Genomic DNA, 21,471 nt, shown 5'->3' on the forward strand with positions numbered 1-21,471 from the left:
TTGGCCAAGGACTGACTAAGCACAAGGCTGTAGAACTGGCAGAGAGTCAAGAATGGTGGGGCTGGGCAATAGCTAAAGGAGTGACATTTGTGAATGAGTGTGATGAATTGTTTCTGTTTGTTTAGACTAAACCCCAGCTCCGCCTCACGCAAGTGGAGCAACCAAGTGTGAGACACTGAGATCCTGGAAATGAAAGGATTGTCTGACCAGCTGTTCAAATTGGTGGCTGAAGCTCTCCGGTAAGAACAGCTAACACTCAGGTCTCACTCAGAGTCTTATAGATAACAAAAAAAAAGAAAAAAAATGGAGATAAAAGAGTATTCATAATACCTTGTTCTAATTTTTTAGTTAGAAAAAGAGCTTTTATGATTATAAAAATAATTCATCGCTTTATAGAAAATTTGGAAATACATAAAATCCTAACAAAGAAGGTAAAGAGCATCCATAATTTCAGCACCTGGCAACAATTATTAATATAAATTCATTTGCAATACTTTTCTTTCTTGAGAGCATAGCATTTTGCTGACATTTTCTAATTCATTCTGTGGTGTAGATGTGTGAGGGTTGTTGGAATAGAACAGTGCGTACTTTTATTATCATTACAGGAGAGAAGTCAAAATAGCAAATTCACTGACTTCTCCAAAGTCAGAGAAATTTGTGATGGCAATATCTTCTGTCCTCTGCTTCTGGTCTCTAAAAATAAAAACAGCCTAACAAGTTAATATTTATCTAGTGCTTTTCAGTCATATAATCTTTCCCTTGTGGTGCCATTCTGCTGTGTGCTTTCTATATTTACTCACCTAAGTTCCAGAGCAGAGACAGCCATGGTTCAAGAGAGTTTAACCAAGCAGTTGGAGGTGGAAAATCAGGAGCCAGGCCCTCTGATTCCTTCACTTGTCTAGAACCATGCTTCACTCAAAATCTTTCTGCTTGAGGCAACAAAATGAAAAGAGTACACTGCTCTTCATAAAGTTACAGTACATATTTGTATATAGGAATGGAGTGAGCAATGTACATGCACAACAATAAATACATAGAAATATATAGGAATGGATGAAATATAGACCTGTCCAGCCCTGTGTTCATTATGATAGCCACCAGCCACATGTGGCCATTGAGCATTTAATATATAGCTTGTGCAACTAATTAACTAAATTTTAAGTTTTTATTTTTTTAAGTTAAAAACATACTCAGTTCAGATGTTAGAAAAAGTTTAAGTATTCTTGGAGTAACTCATATAGGTGAATCTATTTTTTAACTATAAATTATTTGACATCTAAATAGAGAATCAAAACTTTCCGATGAAAAATTATTATCTAAACTGAGATGTGCAGTAAATGTGAAATACATACCAGATCTCAGACTCAGTGTGAAAAAAAAAACTCAGTCATAATTTTCTTATACTGATTACATGTTCAGATGACAATATTTTGGATTAGGTTAAATAAAATATTATTAAAATTAGGTGCATTTATTTCTTTTTATATTTTTAATATAGCTATTAGTAAATTTAATATATATATTATGTATATATATATTATGTACATGTATATATATGGTTTGCATTATATTTCTATTGCACCACCCTGGATACAACCAGATAACAAGTCTCCAGTTATGTCCATAAAGCTTTAAATTATGAGGATCTGTCTTACAACGTCTAAGGTATTCCTCATGTGTTTCAATAAAAGAGCATATATTTTAAAATTGTAGATTGGTAAATAGCATAGATGTCAAAATTAGAACCAAGATGTCAATGTTGGCCCCATCAACTGTGTAAATATATATAACTTTATTTTTTTCATTTTTCTCCTGTGTGCTTCGTAGTAATTTCAGCTCTACAGGGAAGTTATGCAAGACTATAAATAACTCTCATGGGCCCTTCACCCAGTGACCCTTTCAAGGTTTACAGCTGACCCAGTAACAGCCTGTATGACAAAAGATCTAGTTCAGGATTGTACATTGCACGTACTTGTCATGCCTCTTCAGTGTCCTTCAATCTGGAACAATTTGTTCCTCCGTCCTACTTTGACCTTCATGACCTTAATATTTTTGAAGATTACAGGCTTGTTATTTTGTAGGATGTTCCTTAATTTAGATTTGTCTGTGATTTCCTCGTTCTGTCCAGCCCTGTGTTGTTCATTATGATTCAAGTTATGGCTTTTTGGCAGGACTATCACAGAAGTGATTCTATGATCTCACTGGATCCTATCAGCTGGCACATGATTTTTATTTGGGTTATTACTGGTGGTATTAACTGACCACTTGAGTAAGATGGTAGCTGTCATGTTTGTCCACAGTAAAGTTATTTTTTTTCTCTGTATAAGTGTTTTGAAGAAATACTTTAAAACTGTGAAATATCTCATTCTACATCAACTTTTATCCCATCGTTTGGCAGTGATTTATGTTTCTTACCTCAATGGATTATCACTGTGATGATTGCTAAATAATAATTCTCTAATTCCATAATTTTTGTGCATGTATTAGTTGACATTATATTATAAATAAAAGGTTTCTTTTCTTTCTCTGTTTGAGTATATCAATCAATCTACCTACCTACCTATGTGCCATCTGTCTACATATCTCTATAGACACAGATAGATAGATAGATAGATAGATAGATAGATAGATAGATAGATGATAGATAAAATGTGGCCTCATAGATTAGTATTTTACTCACTGAAATGTAATCTATTTGCCATTGTCCTGGAGTTCATGAGGGGAGCCCTTTCAAGGTGGCTCTGTGTCCTTTTGACATACACCCATTATTTTTAGGGTATTTAAAACATTTAGGCCAGGCGCGGTGGCTCACGCCTGTAATCCCAGCACTTTGGGAGGCTGAGGTGGGCGGATCACAAGGTCAGGAGATCGAGACCATCCCAGCTAACACAGTGAAACCCCATCTCTACTGAAAATACAAAAAATTAGCCAGCCATGGTGGCGGGCACCTGTAGTCCCAGCTACTTGGGAGGCTGAGGTAGGAGAATGGTGTGAACCCAGGAGGCGGAGCTTGCAGTGAGCTGAGATTGTGCCCCTGCACTCCAGCCTGGGCGACAGAGCAAGACTCTGTCTCAAAAAAAAAAAAAAATTTATTGGTGTGCTGGAGTTGGTTTCACACTAGCTTAGAAGAGCCCATTGTAAAATTTTCAGGATATTTGTGAGCTAATCCTATCAAGTCAGTAGCTTGGAACCTAGTATGGTAAAGGTATTTACATCACAGAAGTCTGCACATGTTACAATCAGAGCTTTTTCCCCCAGCTCTGGGTGTTAAAAATTCACCAGCACACTACTGTTTGTCACACACAAAAAAATGTTCCAGGCTCATATTATGCTTTAATTGCCACAGTTCTATAATCATCCATTTCTCCAAGGAGCACTAATTCCTTTTAGTGGAGAATAGCACTTTGGAACCAAGATCTTGAAGCTAGGTGAGCGCCACTGGGCACTACTGGGTATAATACCTACCTTGGTGGAAATAAAGTGCTTAGCATAGTTCCCAAAAGAAAATATGTGCTTAATAAATAGATATTTTCTATTGGTTTTATTGTTGTTATTGTTATGAAGGTCCTATTAAGCATGAACCCAGAGGCCTAAAAGGAAAAGATGTGGAGATGTGTAATCTTTGATCATTTGTTCCATGATGTGTGTTGGCAAACTAGACAAAATGAAAAACTTCTCTAAAGAGTTGGTCTTACATTTTTCAGAGACATTTTATGAGTCTTGATTCATTAAAATTTGTTGGCATAAATCAGCGTTTCTCGATCTTAGCACTACTGACATTTGGGGTCACGGAATTATTTATGGTGGAGAGTTGTCCTGTGCATTATAGGCTATTGAGAAACACGCCTGGCCTTACCTCACTAGTTGGAGCACCCAGCCCTCATTTATTGCAACCAGAAGCGTCTCTAGATATTGCTAAAGGTCTCCTGGGGGCAAAATCACCCCTTCTCCTTCCCTAATTGAGAACCACAGGAATAAATGGTTGGCTCTGTCTTAAGTAAATTTTCTATTATTCACCATGTTCAAGAAATAAAATAATTTGATTTTTAAAATACTGAATAATAAAGTTACTTTATACTATTTTCTAAAGAATTGACTGAAAACCACTGATGCAATTCAAAATTAGGCTGAAAATAATTAATCTGTTTTGATTCAGAAGTGACTGATTTGAACCTCTATTATCACTGAGTCGTGGACGTGTGCAAGTCCTGGTCAGCATGGTCTTCTTGATGTGACTTTGGTTAATAGGGCTTGCTGCAGGAGCATTATAACAAGGATTTTCACACAGCTTTCTTTCAAAAAAACTAAATCATTACATTTCAGCCTTTTCTCCCATCTTCCCTTTCTTCTATTTTATGTCCTAGCTAAATGGAATGTTCTTTGTCTAATAAACATTAATTGGATGAATGAGTAGATATTTTTTTAACTTTCTTAAAAGGAAAGAAATGGGAAAATTATTACCACATTTTACAAAAGGTTTCATTTGTCAAGAATAGTTTAGGAAGTCAGCAGCAGTCTGAGCCAAAATTAAGTCAGGTTTCTTTAGAATTACTCAAGTTCTTCTATGGGGGGGCTCTTAATTTTGCACAAGGACCTTCAAACAGTGTCCAAATTGCTTCAGTCTAAGTCTACAGTCTCACTTTCTAATGGAGAAAAAACTTGATGTTAAAGAATTAAAGGCCGGGTGCGGTAGCTCATGCCTGTAATCCCAGCACTTTGGGAGGCCGAGGTGGGTGGATCATCTGAGGTTAGGAGTTCGAGACCAGCCTGTCTGACATGGTGAAACCCCCATCTCTGCTAAAAATACAAAAATTAGCCGGGCCTGGTGGCCGGAGCCTGTAATCCCAGCTACTCGGGAGGCCAAGGCAGGAGAATCACTTGAACCTGGGAGGCGGAGGTTGCAGTGAGCCGAGATCGCACCACTGCATTCCAGCCTGAGCATAAGAGCGAAATTCCATCTTGGAAAAAAAAAGTTAAAGAGGAATACAACAAACAAATAAATAAAATTGGAAACAACATAGCAGTTGCAATAAATTCCAAATGATGAACACAAGTAAAACCTTAACCCTTAGGACAACATTGAAGTTTTCCTGAATGCCAAGTACCCTTCATTTGGCACCAACACCAGGAGTGGGGATTTCCGTGATTTAGGCAGTATGATGGGAGTTTTGCATCAGTGACCAGGATTACATGGCAACAAACTTTGGTTGAAGGCTAAATGAGAATCATCAGCAAACTCTTACATGGGGCTGATTTTAGTGTATGAATACCAACTTTTCATTATTTTTTAGGATTTTAAAAATTACTTATTGACAAAATATAGCTGTATATATTTATGGGGCAAAAAGTGATGCTATGATTTTTGAATACAAGGTGGAATGATTAAATCAAGCTAATTAACCTGTCCATAACCTCAAATATTTGACATTTTTGTGATCAGAATACTTGAGATTTACTCTCTTAGTAATATTGAAATGTATAGTACTCAATTATTAGCTATATTTAGCACACTGTGCAATAGATCAAAAAAAATCAAACTTATTTCTTCTATCTGAGGCTTTGTACACTTGGACTATCATCTCCCCAGTCTCCCCAGTCTTCAGCCTCTGGTAACTTCCATTCTACACTCTGCTTCTATGAGTTCAATTGTTTTAGATTCCATAGTTAGTTGAGAATATGCAGTATTTGTCTTTCTGTATTTGGTCTATGTCACTTAGCATATTGTTCTTCAATTCCATTTGTGTTGTCACAAATGAGAGAATCTCTTCCCTTTTTAAGGCTCAATCATATTCCATTGTTTTTTCTATATCTATGAAAAATGACATTGGGATTCTGATAGAAATTTTACTGAATTCATATGTTGCTTTGAGTAGTATGGACATTTTCACAACATTTATTCTTTTAATTCATGAACATGGGCTATCTCTTATTTATCTGAGTTCACTTCATTGATTAAATTTACTCCTAATTTTTTTATAGCCATTGTAAATGAGATTGTTCTCTTGATTCCTTTTTTAGAAATTCTGTTGTTAGTGTAGAGATACATTACTGATTTTTGCATGTTGATTTGTGTCCTGAAACTTCACTGAATTTGTTCATCAATTCTAACATCTTGTTGTAGATTATTTTGGGTTTTCTATATAGATAATCATATCATTAGCAAACAGTGACAATTTCACTTTTTCTTTTTTTAAAATGTTTATGCCTTTTACATATTTCTCTTCCCTTATTGGTGTAATAAGGAATTCCAAAACCATGATGAATAGACCTGGCAAGAGTGGGCATCCTTGACTTGTTCCAGAATTTAGAGGGAAGAGTTTCAATTTTGCTTTACATATTTAGTGGCTCCACTGTGGGGTCATATGAATTTACAATTGTTATATCCTCTTAATGAATTGATTATATAATGTCCTTTTTTGTCTCCTTTTACAGTTTTTTACTTAAAGTTTATTTTGTCTAAGTATCACTGCCCCTTCTGTCCAATTGCAAAGAATATCTTTTTTTTATTCTTTCATTTTTAGTATGTGTGTGTCCTTAAGGAGAAGTGAATCTCTTATGTACAGCATATACTTGGACCTTGGATTTTTATCTATAAATTCACTCTATGTCTTTTGATTGGAGAATTTAATTCATTTATTTTCAAGGTAATTATTAATAGGTAAAAACTTACTATTGCCATTTTGTTAATTGTTTTCTGGTTGTTTTGTGGATATTTTCTTTCTTCCTCCATTTCTGTCTTTGTAGTTTGATGGTTTTCCGTAGGGTATGTATTTTGTTTTCTTTTGTTTTGTGCATCTCCTATAGATTTTTGATTTTTGGTTGCCATGAGGCTTACATAGAACATGTTACACTTATAATAGTTTATTTGAGGCTAACAGTTTAGCTTTGATTGCATACAATAACTCTCCAGTTCTCCCCCATTCCAGTATTTTATGTTTTTGATGTCTGAATTGTATCTTTTTTAAATATGTTTTACTTGACAATTTATTTCAGTAACTGTTGTTATTAACAATTTCATCCTTTAATGCTTGTACTAGGGATAAAATTACTTTGCATACTACTATCACAGTCCTAGGCTATTCCACATTTTGCTACATAAAACTTATACTATTAGGTTTTGTACTTTCATAAATTTTATGTTAATAATTAGCATCTTTTAGTTTCAGTTAAAAGAACTCTCTTTTGCAATTCCTGCAAGCAGGCCTAGTGATGATAAACTTATTTAACTTTTGTTTGTCTGGGAAAGTTTTTATTTCTCCCTCATTTCTGAAAGACAGATTTTCTGAGTGAAGTATTCTTGGTTGGTAGTTTTTTTTTTTTTTTTTCACTTCACCACTTTGAATATATCATCCAATTCTCTCCTGGCCCGCGGTGTTTCTGCTGAGAAGTTTGCTGATAGTTTTATTGGGACTCCTTTGTATGTGATGTATTTCTTATCTCTTGCTGCTCTCAGAATTTGTTCTTTGTATTTAATTTTTGATAATTTGATTATTAAATGTCTTGGTGAATTCTTTTTTGGTTAGAGTTTTATTGCTGACCTCCACATTTTGTATACCTAGGTGTTGGCTTCTTTTCTTGATTAGAGACGTTTTCATCCATTATTTCTTTAAATATGTTTTATGGCCTTTTTCTTTCTTTCTTTCTTTCCTCCTGGAATGCCTATGATGCATAGGTTAGGTTTCTTGTTTGATGATGTCCCATTATTCCCATAGATGTTCTTCATTCTTTATTATTATTATTTACTCCTCTGATTGGGTAATTTCAAATTTTCTGTCTTCATGTTTACTGATTTCTCAGCTTGATAAAGTCAGCTGTTGAAGCTTTCTATTGCATTTTTCAGTTCAGTCACTGTAATCTTCATTTTAAAAATCTCCATTTAAAAAAAAAGTTTCTATTTCTTTGTCAAACTTCTCCTGTTTGTGTATTATCTTCGAGATTTTATTTAATGTTTAATCTGTATCTTCTTGAAGTTTACTAAACATTTTTAAGAGGATTATTCTGAATTTTTTTTTCTGTCCTTTTATCGATATCTTTGTCCTAAGAGTCTATTGTTAGAGCTTTGTCACTTTCTTTTGGAGGTGTTATGAGTCTTTATAATCCTTGTATCCTTGTATCGGTGTTTATGCATTTGTGGAGACAGACAACTTTTCTGGCTTTTACAAGTTTGTTTTTTTGGCAGGGATAGAAATTCACTAGTTAATCTACCCCTATGATTCTGGATGGGTCATTCTGGATGAGTAATGATCCTGGAAAGGCAGGCTTGCTTTTAAGTTCTCTAGATGGCTGGGCTACTGCTTTTACCTGGAATTTGTGTGGGGCAGCTGACTAGGCTTTGCTGTTTGGCAAGATCACTGGCTGAGCTCTACTACTAGGCTGAGCTGCCATATGGATGCTGCAATCACATCTTGTCTGGCAGGGCCACAGGGTGTAATTCCCTGGCCAGGTACTGCTATTTGAGTTCAGGAGTTGACCAAGGTTGCAGAAGAGGCCCCAAAGTTAAGTAGGTTGGGATGAATGGACTAACTGCTATGGTCAGTAGAAATGCATGACTGAGATTTGCCTTCCTCCATGGGTGAGGTGTGGGGATGGGCTTTGAGGCCAAGAGAAGAACTGATTAAACTCCCAGGTGTGGCAGAACTAGTGCCTGCTTTTTGTCAGTATTTGCTACAGTGATCAGCAGTCTCCTTGGGCAGAGTCTAGGGGTAAGCTTTAAGGCTACAGGGAGTGTAGATTAAGCTCCTGACTGTAGCAGATCTAGTGCCTGCTTGTTGTGGAAATTTGCTGCAGGGGGTCTTCTCTTACCTAGGCAGGACCCTAGGGTAGGGTCTGAGGCTGGCCATCTAGAGACTCAAGCCATGTAACCCTTCCCACCTCTTCTGGGAGTGACCAGCTCAGCTCTGTGGGTGAGCTACACACCCACAGATACCTCTGATTGAGCACGACTAGTGGCAGGTGCACTGAGCTTTTACCAAAATCTGTGATGTCTAAATTTGCATAATTTTTTAATATGTTTCACTTGACAATTTATTTTACTGTTCTCTGTGGGCTCCACCTCCTGACTTTGTTTTTACCTGACCCCAGATAGTCTAGTCATGTGGTTTTCTCCTCCATTCCCCATTTCCAATGAGGTGAGAATGGGGTGAGTTGCCTGGGAAGCACCTCAAAATGCTGGGAAAGTTGGATATTTGCTTTCCCGCTGTAGAAACCATGGGCCCTAGGGAATTTCCTCTGTGTGGCACTGTGCTGACTTAGGGGAGAGAGGAAGGGCAACGTGGTCAAAGCAAAACCATTTCTCTTACCCCTTCCATGTGGAGTTTGATTCAGTTCCATGGAATACACAGGTGACTCAGGCTTATTCCCACATTTTCACCAAGGTGTTTTTGACTGGATAGTTGATGTTTCTCTGGGAGGAGTGAAGCCTGGGACCCCTTCTTCCACCATCTTGCTGATGTCACTTCAACTTGCCATTATCTATTCTATTCTTGCCACTATCTAATCTATTATTAAATAGATTGCTAATATATAAGCTTTGGTTGTCTGTAAAAATCAATCTAAAGGAAGGAGAGTTATTTGGCTTAATAACTGAAGAGAGAGCTTGCAGTGATAGAACAGCTTGCTCCCCATCAGTAGTCCCTTGCAAACTGCCAGTGAGCCTTGGACCATACTTTTAGAAATGATGCTTTGTGGTCAGCAATTCCAAAAGGTTAATTATGATATTCCAGTCTACTTGTGGAACTTCCAAGCTAGCTCCTGCCACCACACATCATTTCCTCAATGCAGCAGCTTTATTGATTGCACCCCGTTGTCTCCTTACTTCTGCTATCCCCCTAGCTTTCCACTAATACCAGTCAAAAGCCTATGGGGGCCTAAAGAGAGAGCCCTTTATCAAACAAACAAAGCACTTAGTGGTGGGTGTCTTGGACTATGCTACAAAAAGGTACAATGATTCTTTCTCTGTGTACTTATTGACATTCATTGAGCGGCATATAGTTTATTTTAGCTAGAGTTTGTGATGTAGCATCTATATTTAATTCCACAAGCTGTCAGGCAACTCATATATTTACAAACACAATCCTGGAAACAATGTGATTGCTGGTCACAGCTGCATCTGTAACATCTCAGGAGCTCTGTGCTGTTTAGCACAGCTCAGGGCATTATCATTTTACATTCTGGTTTGTGCCAAGGTCCAAATAGGGCAGAGCTTGGGCTAAAAGTTCAGATTCAATGACAGGCCTGGCAGAAAGCCAAGAGCAAGAGTAACATTGAGGGCTGCAGGTCATAATGGAGAGTTGCTTATCAGCCCCACCTCAATTTTTCAGCCTACATAGTTATGAGCAATTTCTCTGTGATTGGCTTGGGTTTATTTTGGCTTCCCGGGCCTTAAACCACCCTATGTATATACAGAGACTCAGCTGGGAAGTGAGCTGGGGCTTAAGCAACAGAAGCCAGTCTGCTGGGAGGAGGCAGGGACAGAGAAGGGTCTCTCTCTGGAGTACGAAAGCAGCTGTCAACAAGGGATTGAAGTAGATGACTAAGCCAGCTTCAGTAGCTAGATCCAGGGAGATGGGCAGGCCATGCCCAGGGGCAGGGCCAAATGGTTTGATTCAGGCAATCTTGGTAACAGGAGGTCCAATGGCTAGAATATATAAAGAGGAACTCTAAGAGAGGGTGCAGTCCAGAAGCAGGTAAAAGGGCAGGAAATTCCTGGGGGCCTATCTATCTACAGCAGGAAATGGGGGAGTGGAGAGCAGGAGGCACAGAAGCCAAAAAGGGTGTGGTGTAATTTGGATATTTGTTCCCACCCAAATCTCATGTTGAAATCCCCATTGTAGGTAGGGTGTGGTGGGAGGTATTTGGATCATAGGGGCAGATCCCTCATGAATGGCTTGGGTCATTCCTTTGGTGATAAGTGAGCTCTCACTCTGAGTTCACGCCTATCTGTGGTTTCAAAGTGTGCAGTACCTCCCCCACCTCTCTCTCTCTCTCTTGCTCCTGCTTTTGCCATGTGATGTGCCTGTACCCCCTTCACCTTCTGCCATGATTATAAGTTTTCTGAGGCCTCTCTAGAAGTAGAGCAGATGGGAGCACCACACTTCCTCTAAAGCCTCTGGAACCATGAGCCAATCAAACCCTTTTCTTTAATCAATTACCCAGTCTTGGGTGTTTCTTTGTAGCAATGCAATAACGGCCTAATGCAGGGTACAAGCCTCTTACACCTTAGATGGACATGCGGAGACTGGGCAGAAAGGAAGGGGATGAGGAATCTGGGCACAGGCTCAGTTGGGTTTGGGGATATGAGGGAAGAGCACTGTAACTCAAGGGCATGCAAGAAACCAGGAGTTGTGGATTGGCCCATGGTGGAGGAGTACGCCTAACCTGTGGTTTTTGAGACAGCACAGGTGAAATACCACTGGGTTCTTATGAGGCCATGCTGACAGGCCATCTAAACAGGAGCCACACAGCTTCCAAAAAAGCAGCATGCTTATCTAAGCTGGAAAAGTGATTGTAGGTGAATCCTGCTTGTGTACTTTAAGATTTTAGACTTTTCTTCAATCTTGCAATTTTTAAAATGAAAATGACCCAGAGGAATCTAGGATAACCTCATGTGAATACAGCTATCTTATTCAAGTCTGTAGCTGTTAGATTTATAGGTCATGTAAATAGTATTAAGGACTCCCCTTGGGAGAACATTATTGGCTTCTCTGTTCCTGAGTTTTCTTCTCTGTACAATGGGCATAATAACAGCATCAACCTTACAGGGGTTTGTGCATAGTAAATAACGCATGGAAAGTGTTTAGATTGATGTTTGGTACACAGTAACTAATATGTAAACATAATTAGAGGTGATTATAATGGCAACTCTGGGACTCATGGGTTTTGAATTTTGAAAATTTTACCATTGACACACATAAAACGGAGACAGACAAGCTCTAGGCTTAGTGTTAAGAGACCCAAGTTCAAGTCCTCACTTTTCCCCAAACCAGTGGTGGGTCTTTAAATAACGTATTGCACTTCTGTGACTGAAAGTTTTCTCACTTATGATACAATGTGACATGAATTTTATCACTGGATCCCATCAGAATGTTGCATCAAAATCTCCTGGGAGGTTTTTAAAAAATATTCAAAATTATAAAAATATACCCCAGCCCCATATCTCAGTTATTTCCCTCTTTCCTCCCTTCCCTATTTCCATTCCACTCCCTACCTTCCCCACATACACACACTACCACATGTGCTCCAGGCTGCTGAGAACCACTGGGTCAGGTAATCTCCAGGATCCCATCCCTTCTCCCCAGTTCCAGGACACGATCAGGTGGAAATTAACCAGGGAACAGAGGCTGTAGGAAGCCAAAGCAACCGCATAATCAATGCACAGAGCTTTGAAAGGCTTCTTGGAGAAAATGAGGCTAAAAGATGTGAGAGACCACAGTAGACTCACAGAGAGGAAAGGCAGGAGTGAGTACAATGGCAGGGCTCATAGCCAGACAACTGGGGAATCAAGTGACCACAGGATGAAGGTGAAAGGGCCCTGGGTTGAACCCATCACTACAGTCATCAGCTGCAGAGGACTAGGGATGGGGGACTGGTGAGGTTATTCAGAGTGACCTGGAGAAACCTCTAAAAGGCTAAAATGAGGAAACGCCTTTTAACAGAAATCTTACCTTTTTAAGCTTCAGTTTTCTCACCTGTAAACAACAACAAAACAAACAAACAAAAACTAAGATTGGATGAGTCTATGAACTGTTTTTGGACTCTTTTTAGTGCTAATAACCCCTGTTGGAGCAATGGAAAAAATAATGGTGAACACACAGCACTCACCATGGGCCAGACACCTTTTTTTCTTTTTCTTTTCTTTTCGAGATGGCGTCTCACTCTATTGCCCAGGCTGGAGTGCAATGGCACGATCTGGGCTCACTGCAACCTCCACCTCTCAGGTTCAAGTGATCCTCCTGCCTCAGCCTCCCGAGTGGCTAGGATTACAGGCACCTGCCATCATGCCCAGCTAATTTTTATATTTTTAGAAGAGACAGGGTTTCACCAGGTTGGCCAGGCTGGTCTCAAACTCCTGGCCTCAGGTGATCCACCCACCTCAACCTCCCAAGGTGCTGGGATTACAGGCGTGAGCCACTGTGGCCGGTCAGGCCAGACACCTTTTAAAGGCTTTACAAATATTAACTCTTTTAATCCTCACAATCCTATGGAGTAGCACTATTATTGTTATCTTAAAAAAAAAAAAAGAAAAAGAAAAAAACAAACAAAAAAACAGATGAGGAACCTGAGGCAAAAGTGTTGGAACCAACCAAGGAAGGCAGGCAGCCAGGTTCTGCAGTCTGTTCTCAAAACCACTCCACTTTGGAACAGCCGATCAGGGGAGCTCAGTGACTGGAAGTGGAAGGCAGATTGGTTCTCAGGGCCGCAAGGAGTGGCTGGGGTTTCTTAATGATGGAGGAGGATGGAAATGGTTTTGAGGAAGGTTGATCTGCAAGGAGATGAAGTTGTAAAGGCTTTGGGATGAGCGACTTTTTATTTAGAAGTACTATTTGATCAGCAGTGCCATCTTTCTATTTGCTAGTGATCCCCCTGACTGGAAGGGAGGCTCCGGAGTAGAAGGGTCTCCCTGGTCTGCACATTCGGCCCCTGGCTTTATCGCTCAGGGCTCTGGGCAAGCCTGTCAGTTAGTTTGTCTCACCAAGGAAAGCACCAAGGACACCCGGCAGGCAAGTATGAAGCCTCAGCAACTGACAGATGAATCTGCCCTTGTTAAGTGAAGGGCTGGTTATCACACAGAGAGACCTATAAATTTGGGGCCTCAGAGGAGGGATCCTACTAGGTCTAATGTCACTAAAGCTGTACATGTGTGTGAGTGCTGTGTGTTTTTGTGTCTGTGTACCTTTTAAGCTCATTACAGGATCCTAAGTCCTATGTTTTGTTCCTGCCCTATGAAAGCAAAGGCTGGGTCCGTCTTGTTCATGAGATTTACTCCCATCCCTTGGGACAGTCCTTGTGCATAGACATTACTTAATAACTGATTGACTGTTTGATGAACAGAGGCAAGTGAGGTTAAGGAGAGCTGAGTTATAGGTCTCAGAGTCAGAATATGCGAGTTTCACTTCTGTTTTATTGTGGAGTGATCTCCAGAGGGTCTCTTTGGCTCTCTTGGCCTCCTCTGTTAAAGTTCTTAAATTAATGTAAGAATATTTAGTAAACAGTAATTATGATTAGCTCTTACCATTGCATAATTATTAATATTATTAACCTGATTCTATACAGTGAGGATATCTATACCCTCACTGATTTTAAGTCATTCCTGACCAGCAGTGGGGAAATGCATCACCTATTGCTTGCCAGTTCCATGCCAGTCCTGAGGGTGACACTGAAGGTCGAATCCTGGAGCCTGGGGAGGGCAGTGACAAAATGTGTCACCCCTGCTCAGGTTCAAATGGAAGAATTATGGGACCTGATGAGGCTCTACAAAATGAAACCAGGAGCACATCGTCAAGGCAAAAGCACCATGGTTAGTCTCTGTTGAAGTTGACAGCTTATTGCAACAAGAGGGAAGAATAAAAGCCACAGATCTGAGCTGATAGCACCCCCACATCCACCCTTGCTCTTAAGAATGTCCTGTCATCTCTCCTATCTACCCTCCCTTTCTTGTAAAAACAGGAGGTTTTGCATCAAGATATTGCGGATGACAAGAACAAATAACAATTTCTGTGATTTTTTTTTTAACAACTGACACCCTCAGATTTATTCAAGAAAACATCTCCTCAACAGAGTTGGCCAATTAACCACTTATATGGCTTGAAAACTTATTTAATGTCACTGCCCAATCACTTTATGAAATGTCACTGCTCCAGCAGGCAAAAATTCCTGCTTTATACCCTGCTTCTTTTATGTTTCAGTCCCTTTCTGAAAAACAGAGCTTCCTTCCAAAGAAGACTAAAATCATAATGCCTCTCCCCTTACATATGTGCCCCTTATATTTGCATAGAATTATGGAATATCAGCAGCAGGTGGGATCACCTGACCTCATAAATCATTTAACCGATGATACAGTGAAGGTCCCAGAGGGAAGTGACTTGCCTGAGGGAGCCAACTTGTAAGTGGCAAAGGCTCCTTTTTTTTTTTTTAATAGCTGTAATTCATATAACTGATGCTGTGAGGTATAAATACTATGGGATCTAGGATAGGTAGACCTCAATCTACCACTGAAATCTGTGACCTCATGCAATTTAATTATCCATTTCTGCCTTCTGCATTCTCATCTGTTAAAAAGAGTGATTTTATTGTTTGTGCTTCATAAGCAGTAACTACCTCACAAATATGAAATGACTTATATTGGTATTTATTAATGATAATTAACATTAACAACCTTGTTACCTACAATATTACTCTCATACCTATTTTACCTTTTCTCCAGGCCTATAACCATAGCTTAGCCATATCCTTAACTCCCCAAGATATAACCCCTCCTTGGCAATAATTTTCAATGAAGAAATATCTATCTCAATTGCCAAGATCTGGTACACCAGCAGCTAATGCCTCAAATCCTGAGTGTGTCGTCTTTTGACATGCCTAGCATAAATGGATATTAAAAACAACAGGAGGATGCAAAAAAATTCCCAAGAAGTCCTCAGCTGGGTAATAATCTGAGAGTGGTAGAGACACGATTCCTATAAGCTCTACCATTTGAAGACTGCACTGCTTACTTCTCATGTGACTTCATCTATATATGATTTTTTCCATTGACAAAGCTGTGACCCATTTACTCCATGGCTTAAAGAACAGATTTGAGCTGATGCAGTTAACAAAGGAAAACCCATGACTTGGTTTACCTTTACGTTTTGTGCAAAGCTAATTTATTATTTCTTTAGATGTAAAACCGTCTTAAGTGTGGTCTAAGTAAGTGAAATGATTTGGCTTTCACTAGTAAATTTATAATTCTTTTCATAAAGGAACTCACTTAGCCATTACTTTAATATCCTAGCATATAACATGGAGGCTTACTTATGCAGTCAGCTTCAGGACAAGAAGGAAAAACTGAAGCACGATGGGGAAGGTACTAACTATTTTATTTTGCTGCTTATTAGCAGTTCCACCAGAAGTTGTGAGGATTTAGACAGTTAAAATTTGCTTGACAGGTTGCTGCAGCAAAATTTCTAGTGATATTATTTGTGGAGCATAAACAGGAAATGGCCAAAAGCTGTTCCCCTTAAAAAGCCTGATTGTAACACAACTGTCAATGCAGCAACTATTTTGTCCATTTTTAAAAGGTAAAGGAACATGTTCTAGGGATGTTTTTAAAAGAAAGTTTTGAAACCTGTTTAAAACTTCTCTTTCTTAAAAAGAGATTTCTTAGTCAAAATGTCTTCAGATACTGAGAAAAATCAGTGAAGCGGAAACCATATGATTCCAAGGCCAGGTTTTTGAGAGGAGCAGTCGGCACTGAATTCAGGCATTCTTGCTGTGCTCAGCAGACTTGGCCCAGCAATCAGAACTGTTTGATTCTAAAGCTGATACTCCTATAACCAGGCAGGTTCTAGCACATTGTGAGTTCTGAAAAAGCATAATTACAAACAAAGAATAACAAGAAGCACCCGTTGACTTAATATATCTTTCTTCTCTCAAAGAGCACACAGGTTTTTCACATGTGTGCTCTCACCTGTCCTTAGAAACCTTCTCCTGCTAGGTGAGGGGGTGACTACACCACCATATTGCAACACAGGAGATCAGTGCACCAAGGGGTGAAGTAGCTGGGCCAAGGACACATGTTTTCAGTAGCTCACAATGACCCCACAATGAAATGCATGGAATTGATTCATCAAATATTTTTGAAAACCACTTATGGTCTCTGACCTTAAGGGGTCCATAAACTAGGCAGGCAGGGTGTGATGTGACTCAGCTGAGTTAGGGAAGATTATCAGTCCCATTCTGCTCAAGAAATTGCCACACTGGCTTCTTCTCATGCAGACAATAACAGCTGGTCTTCAGGGAGCATGAAGAACCCCAACTAGGCCAGGCCTTTTGCAGAATGGGAGAGCCTACAGTTATCTTTTATGTGTCTGCATTATTTTTCTATTGCTGTGCAACAAATTACCACAAACTTAATGGCATAAAACAATACAAAAGCATTATCTCAGTCTCTGTGGGTCAGGAGCATGGGTACAGGTTAACTGGGTCCTCTGCTCAGGGTGTCACCAGACTGAAATCCAGGTGCTAGACAGGGAAGCAGTCCTTATCCAAGGCTCTGGATCCTCTTTCAGTGTCACATGGTTACTGGCAGAATTTGTTTTCTTAAGGTCATATGACTGAGGTTCCCATTTTCTTGCTAGCTGTTGGCTAGCAATTGCTCTCAGATTCCAGAGCCCATCTATAATTCATAGCCATGTGGCCCCCATAAGCAGTTCACCATATGGCTGTTTGCTACTCCCCAGGCCAGCAGAAGCTTGACGCTTCACTGTCTTCTAAAGGCTCACCTGAGTAGGTCAGTTCCACCCCGGGTATTGCTCAAGGTTATTCAGAAACCTTTGTCCTCACTGCCACCACCATGATCTAAAATATCTGCCATCTGGACTTTCAATGCACTCTGCAGTCATTGAATCGTAACTCAAATTCAACTGATTAGCAACCAGATCATGGGAGTGACATCCCATCATACTCACAGGTCCTGCCCATACTCAAGGGGAGGGGACCATATAGGGCATGCACAGAAGGGTGTGGGGATCTTGGTCATTTGGGAATTCTGTGTTCCAGTGTCTTCCCACCCGCATCCACGCATTTCCACCTTGCTGTGTTGGCTGCCTTGGCCTCCAGTATCAGGTAGCTGCAGTCTTCGAAATGAACATTTCCCCATCCCTTTTGTCATTATGCCTTTAAACAAAATAGAACAATATTTTATAAAAGGAATTAATTGCTAATGTTAGAATTTCAGGTAATGTAATGAGCACTTGCTTTTGTATTGTCAATGCTTAGCAGAGTGTCTGGCACTTAGGAGCCCTCAATTTATGTTTCTTCAATAAATGAATATGTGAATGATTACATGAGAAATATTTTGGGCATCCTCATCAGATTGCATCCATTTAAAAATGCCTACACCCTCTATGTACAAAGCCGATTCCTCTTTTTAGTTTCAAAAGAGTTTTTTTTTTTTCATGGTAATGCATGCTTATTATAAAACATTTGAGGATTTTCCTTCTTTCTATGATTTTATTTTTTATATTTAACTTTTTATTCCAACTGGAACTAATTTTCCAATATTAGGTATAAAATATTCCATCCTCCATGCAATTAGTGTCTGATGCTTTTTTTCATATACTAAGTTCTAATATATAAAAAGGTTTATTTCTGAGCTATCTATTCTATTGCATTGATCTGCTGTCCAATTTGTGTGCCAGTATCATCTGTTTTAATTATTGGAATTTTATCATGTTTGAAGATCTGGTAGGGCAGGAGCTGCCTCATTATTCTTTCTTCTTTCAGCCCCCACCTCTAGTTCATTAAGCGAGGTTCTGTCTTACCGCCTGCTCTAGTTCCTTAGGCTGTACTACATTCTTTATCAAGGTCTGGTCATGGAGCCAGACCTAGGCTCGTATTCCACTTCTGCAGTCTCTTAGCTCCACTATTCTGGGTCTCAATAAAATATACTAATAATGGCTATTTAACAAACTTTCTGTGAGAACTATGGTAACTTCTAAGAGCTGTCCAGCACATGGGAGGTGGTCAATATCCACCAGCTGGAGTGAAGGAATGACGCTGAACGTCCAGCCACTCAAGCTGTGTCCTCCATCCTTCTAAGCAGGGGTTGCAACTCTTCTGAAAGCATCCTGTATGAATGGTGAGGCACGGATCTCTCAGACTCAGGCCAACCTTTAGGCTGGGAGAGTTCCAGAATTAATGTTTGTTTCCAGCCTCTGTGCAGCCCCTTTGGGATTCACACTGATCCGATGGAAGTCAGGTGGTTTTCTGAACTGGAGCCAGCCCAGAGTGCCCTGGGGGACTCTGGCAGGGGGCATAAATCAAGTACTGAAGTCCACATTGTCTGCCCTTACCAGAGTCTGGAACTGCCAGGGAATTAACACTCCTTGCCTCATCCCCAGGGAGCCTGTCTCTGGGCTTTGGCAGTCAGAGAATGTTCTCAAGCCATGAAATACAGGTGCTGGAGGTTGGAGGTCATTCTGGCACACACCGAATTGGTGCTGACGAGGGGAGATGGGCAGATTCTGACAGCATGTGCTAGGAATTAAAGATTGAGGAAATGATCACAATTCCAAGAAGCCCCACAGTACTGAACGGTCCTGTGCATTTGCCCAGAGATTTAAAAAGGTGACTCGCTGTTCTCAGACCAAAGAGTAGGCACTGGAAATCAGAGACCTGTGGTGAGTCACAAAGCAGCCAGGAATTTTGAAGGCCAGAATCTTACTACTTTCTTGGCATCTTCCGTCTAACTCAGAGAGGGCAGGGCAGGCACTCATTCATTCCTTCAAGAATGGTGTGTGAAGATCTGCTCTCAGGAGCTGGTATAGAAAGATACAGCAGTTATTGCTCAGCCCTGCCCCTCGTGGTGCTCTCAAGCTGCATGGTGAGGTGAGAGGATTATGGATATCCTTGAGAGCATGATCCACTCCGATGACGCTATATGCAATATCTGAGTACCCCATTCCAACTCCATCCCACATGACCTTCAGTAAAAGAGTAGATCAGATGTTCAAGGCTGGAAGAGGTCTTAGAAATTAACTCTTCAAGGCTGTCTATATACATTAAACCCAGAGAAGGAAGTGATTGCCCACAGTCACTCAGCTTCACAGCAGCAACGGAAGGAACTTCAGTACTTTTCTACCTCACAATTCTCCACCAGAAAAATGGGTTGCTTCTCACCTTACATCAAACTTCGAGAGGCAGCCCACAGTCTGAGGCAACTGCAGAAACAGATTGAGCATTTTTGGAAGAGGAAGACAGAAATGGATGGTGTCGAGTGGGTCAAGGTAGGATGCATGGACACAACATAACATAAGGGTTAAGAGTCAGATCCCCTGAGTTCAAACTCTGGTTTTACCACTTAATAGCTGTGTGAACTTAAGCAACTTTCTTAAGTTTCTCTCTAAGCCTCATCTTCTTATCTGTGAAATGATGGCAATAGTGTTTCCTCACAGGTTGGTTTTAAGGATTAAATGAAATGATGTACCTCAAGCACTTAGCTAAATGCCGAGAACGAAGTTATGTTACTAGCATAAAGGATTTCCGGAATGGGCCCAACCCAATTATGTGTGATGCTCACAGGCCCATGGGGTAACAGGGTGCTCAAATGACAATGCCTTTTGTACTTTTCCAGCTCCGAGCCCTGGAGGAGCAGCACGGAGCGGGAGAGCGTGGCGAGAGAATGAAGAAACCAATCGCCCGGGAGAAGCATGAGGTGGCAGTGTGGCACTCGGTTTAGAGGGCTTCGGCCGGCGGTGGCCCCATGGACAGCCCTGCTGGCACTGGGCCTGCCTGGCTGGGTGTTGGCTGTCTCAGCCACGGCGGCTGCTGTGGTCCCCGAGCAGCATGCCTCCGTAGCTGGCCAGCATCCCCTGGACTGGCTGCTCACAGACCGGGGCCCCTTCCACCGCGCTCAGGAGTATGCTGACTTCATGGAGCGGTACCGCCAGGGTTTCACCACCAGGTACAGGATTTATAGGTAAGTGGGGGCCTCCACTGAGACAGGGGCTTCCCTAAGAACCCAACCTGCACAGGCCCTGCTGGTGTGCTGGCCCAAACCCCTAAACAGGCTGGAATGCCCTCAAACTGAGCTAGAGGTGAAAGCTGGAGGAACACCAGGCAGGGAAAATAAGCCTACCATGTTAGTTTTTAAAAAAAGAAAGAAGAAAACACACACAAGCTGGAAAACCTGCTGATACCTCCTGGGGAACTTAGCAAAAGGGTTTCTATTTATAGGTTGTGCTGCTTATAAGTTGAAGACAAATCAGGCAGCATGGAGTCAGCGTGTGGCCCAGGCTGCCGTAGGAGGTCAGAGTCAAATGCTGGGGCCAGGTTTTAACTAATGGGTTAGTTAATTTCATGAGTTGTAATTACTTAAACATACAAACAAAGGAAGGGCAGCTCCAGCTCCTGCCTTAGAGGTCTGGGGAGCCCTGAAGGGTCAGGAACAAACCTGTCCTTACCCTTGTCAACACCCCAGGCTCCGCAGGCCTTGTGGGAAAAAGGGGTTAGGCCCTTTAGGCCCATCCCCAGAAGCATCAGAGCTGAAAGTCAGACTCCTGAGACCTGCCTAATCCATCATCAGGTGGAATAAGCCAGGCACATATTCCTGGCTGCTGGACCTGCACTTCAAAAATAGAGTGCTCCTCCACGTGCTCACCTCCAGGGCTCCCACAGTGCACCAGTGAACTCAAAATTCTCTTTGATCCCTCTGTCCACTTGCCCCCTTGCCATTTTTCCCCTTACTTGTATCTTTAGATAACCCTGGGAGCCTTG

General features: G+C 40.7%; 1 protein-coding gene across 3 annotated transcripts in view; it reads left to right on the top strand.

Moving 5' to 3' along the window:
- BRINP2 (BMP/retinoic acid inducible neural specific 2) overlaps positions 1 to 21,471 on the top strand; it is a 111,465-nt gene that overhangs the window by 38,514 nt on the left and 51,480 nt on the right. For 2 of the 3 annotated variants that reach the window (XM_005245379.3, XM_024448722.2), the window contains exons 2-3: positions 126 to 239; positions 20,330 to 20,674. In XM_005245379.3, coding sequence (XP_005245436.1) covers positions 20,406 to 20,674 — 269 coding nt within the window. In that variant the 5' untranslated portion in view covers positions 126 to 239; positions 20,330 to 20,405. The remainder of the gene's footprint in view (positions 1 to 125; positions 240 to 20,329; positions 20,675 to 21,471) is intronic. The other variant, NM_021165.4, reaches the window with a different exon arrangement.

This window comes from Homo sapiens, chromosome 1, assembly GCF_000001405.40.
Source record: "Homo sapiens chromosome 1, GRCh38.p14 Primary Assembly".
NCBI lineage: Eukaryota > Metazoa > Chordata > Mammalia > Primates > Hominidae > Homo > Homo sapiens.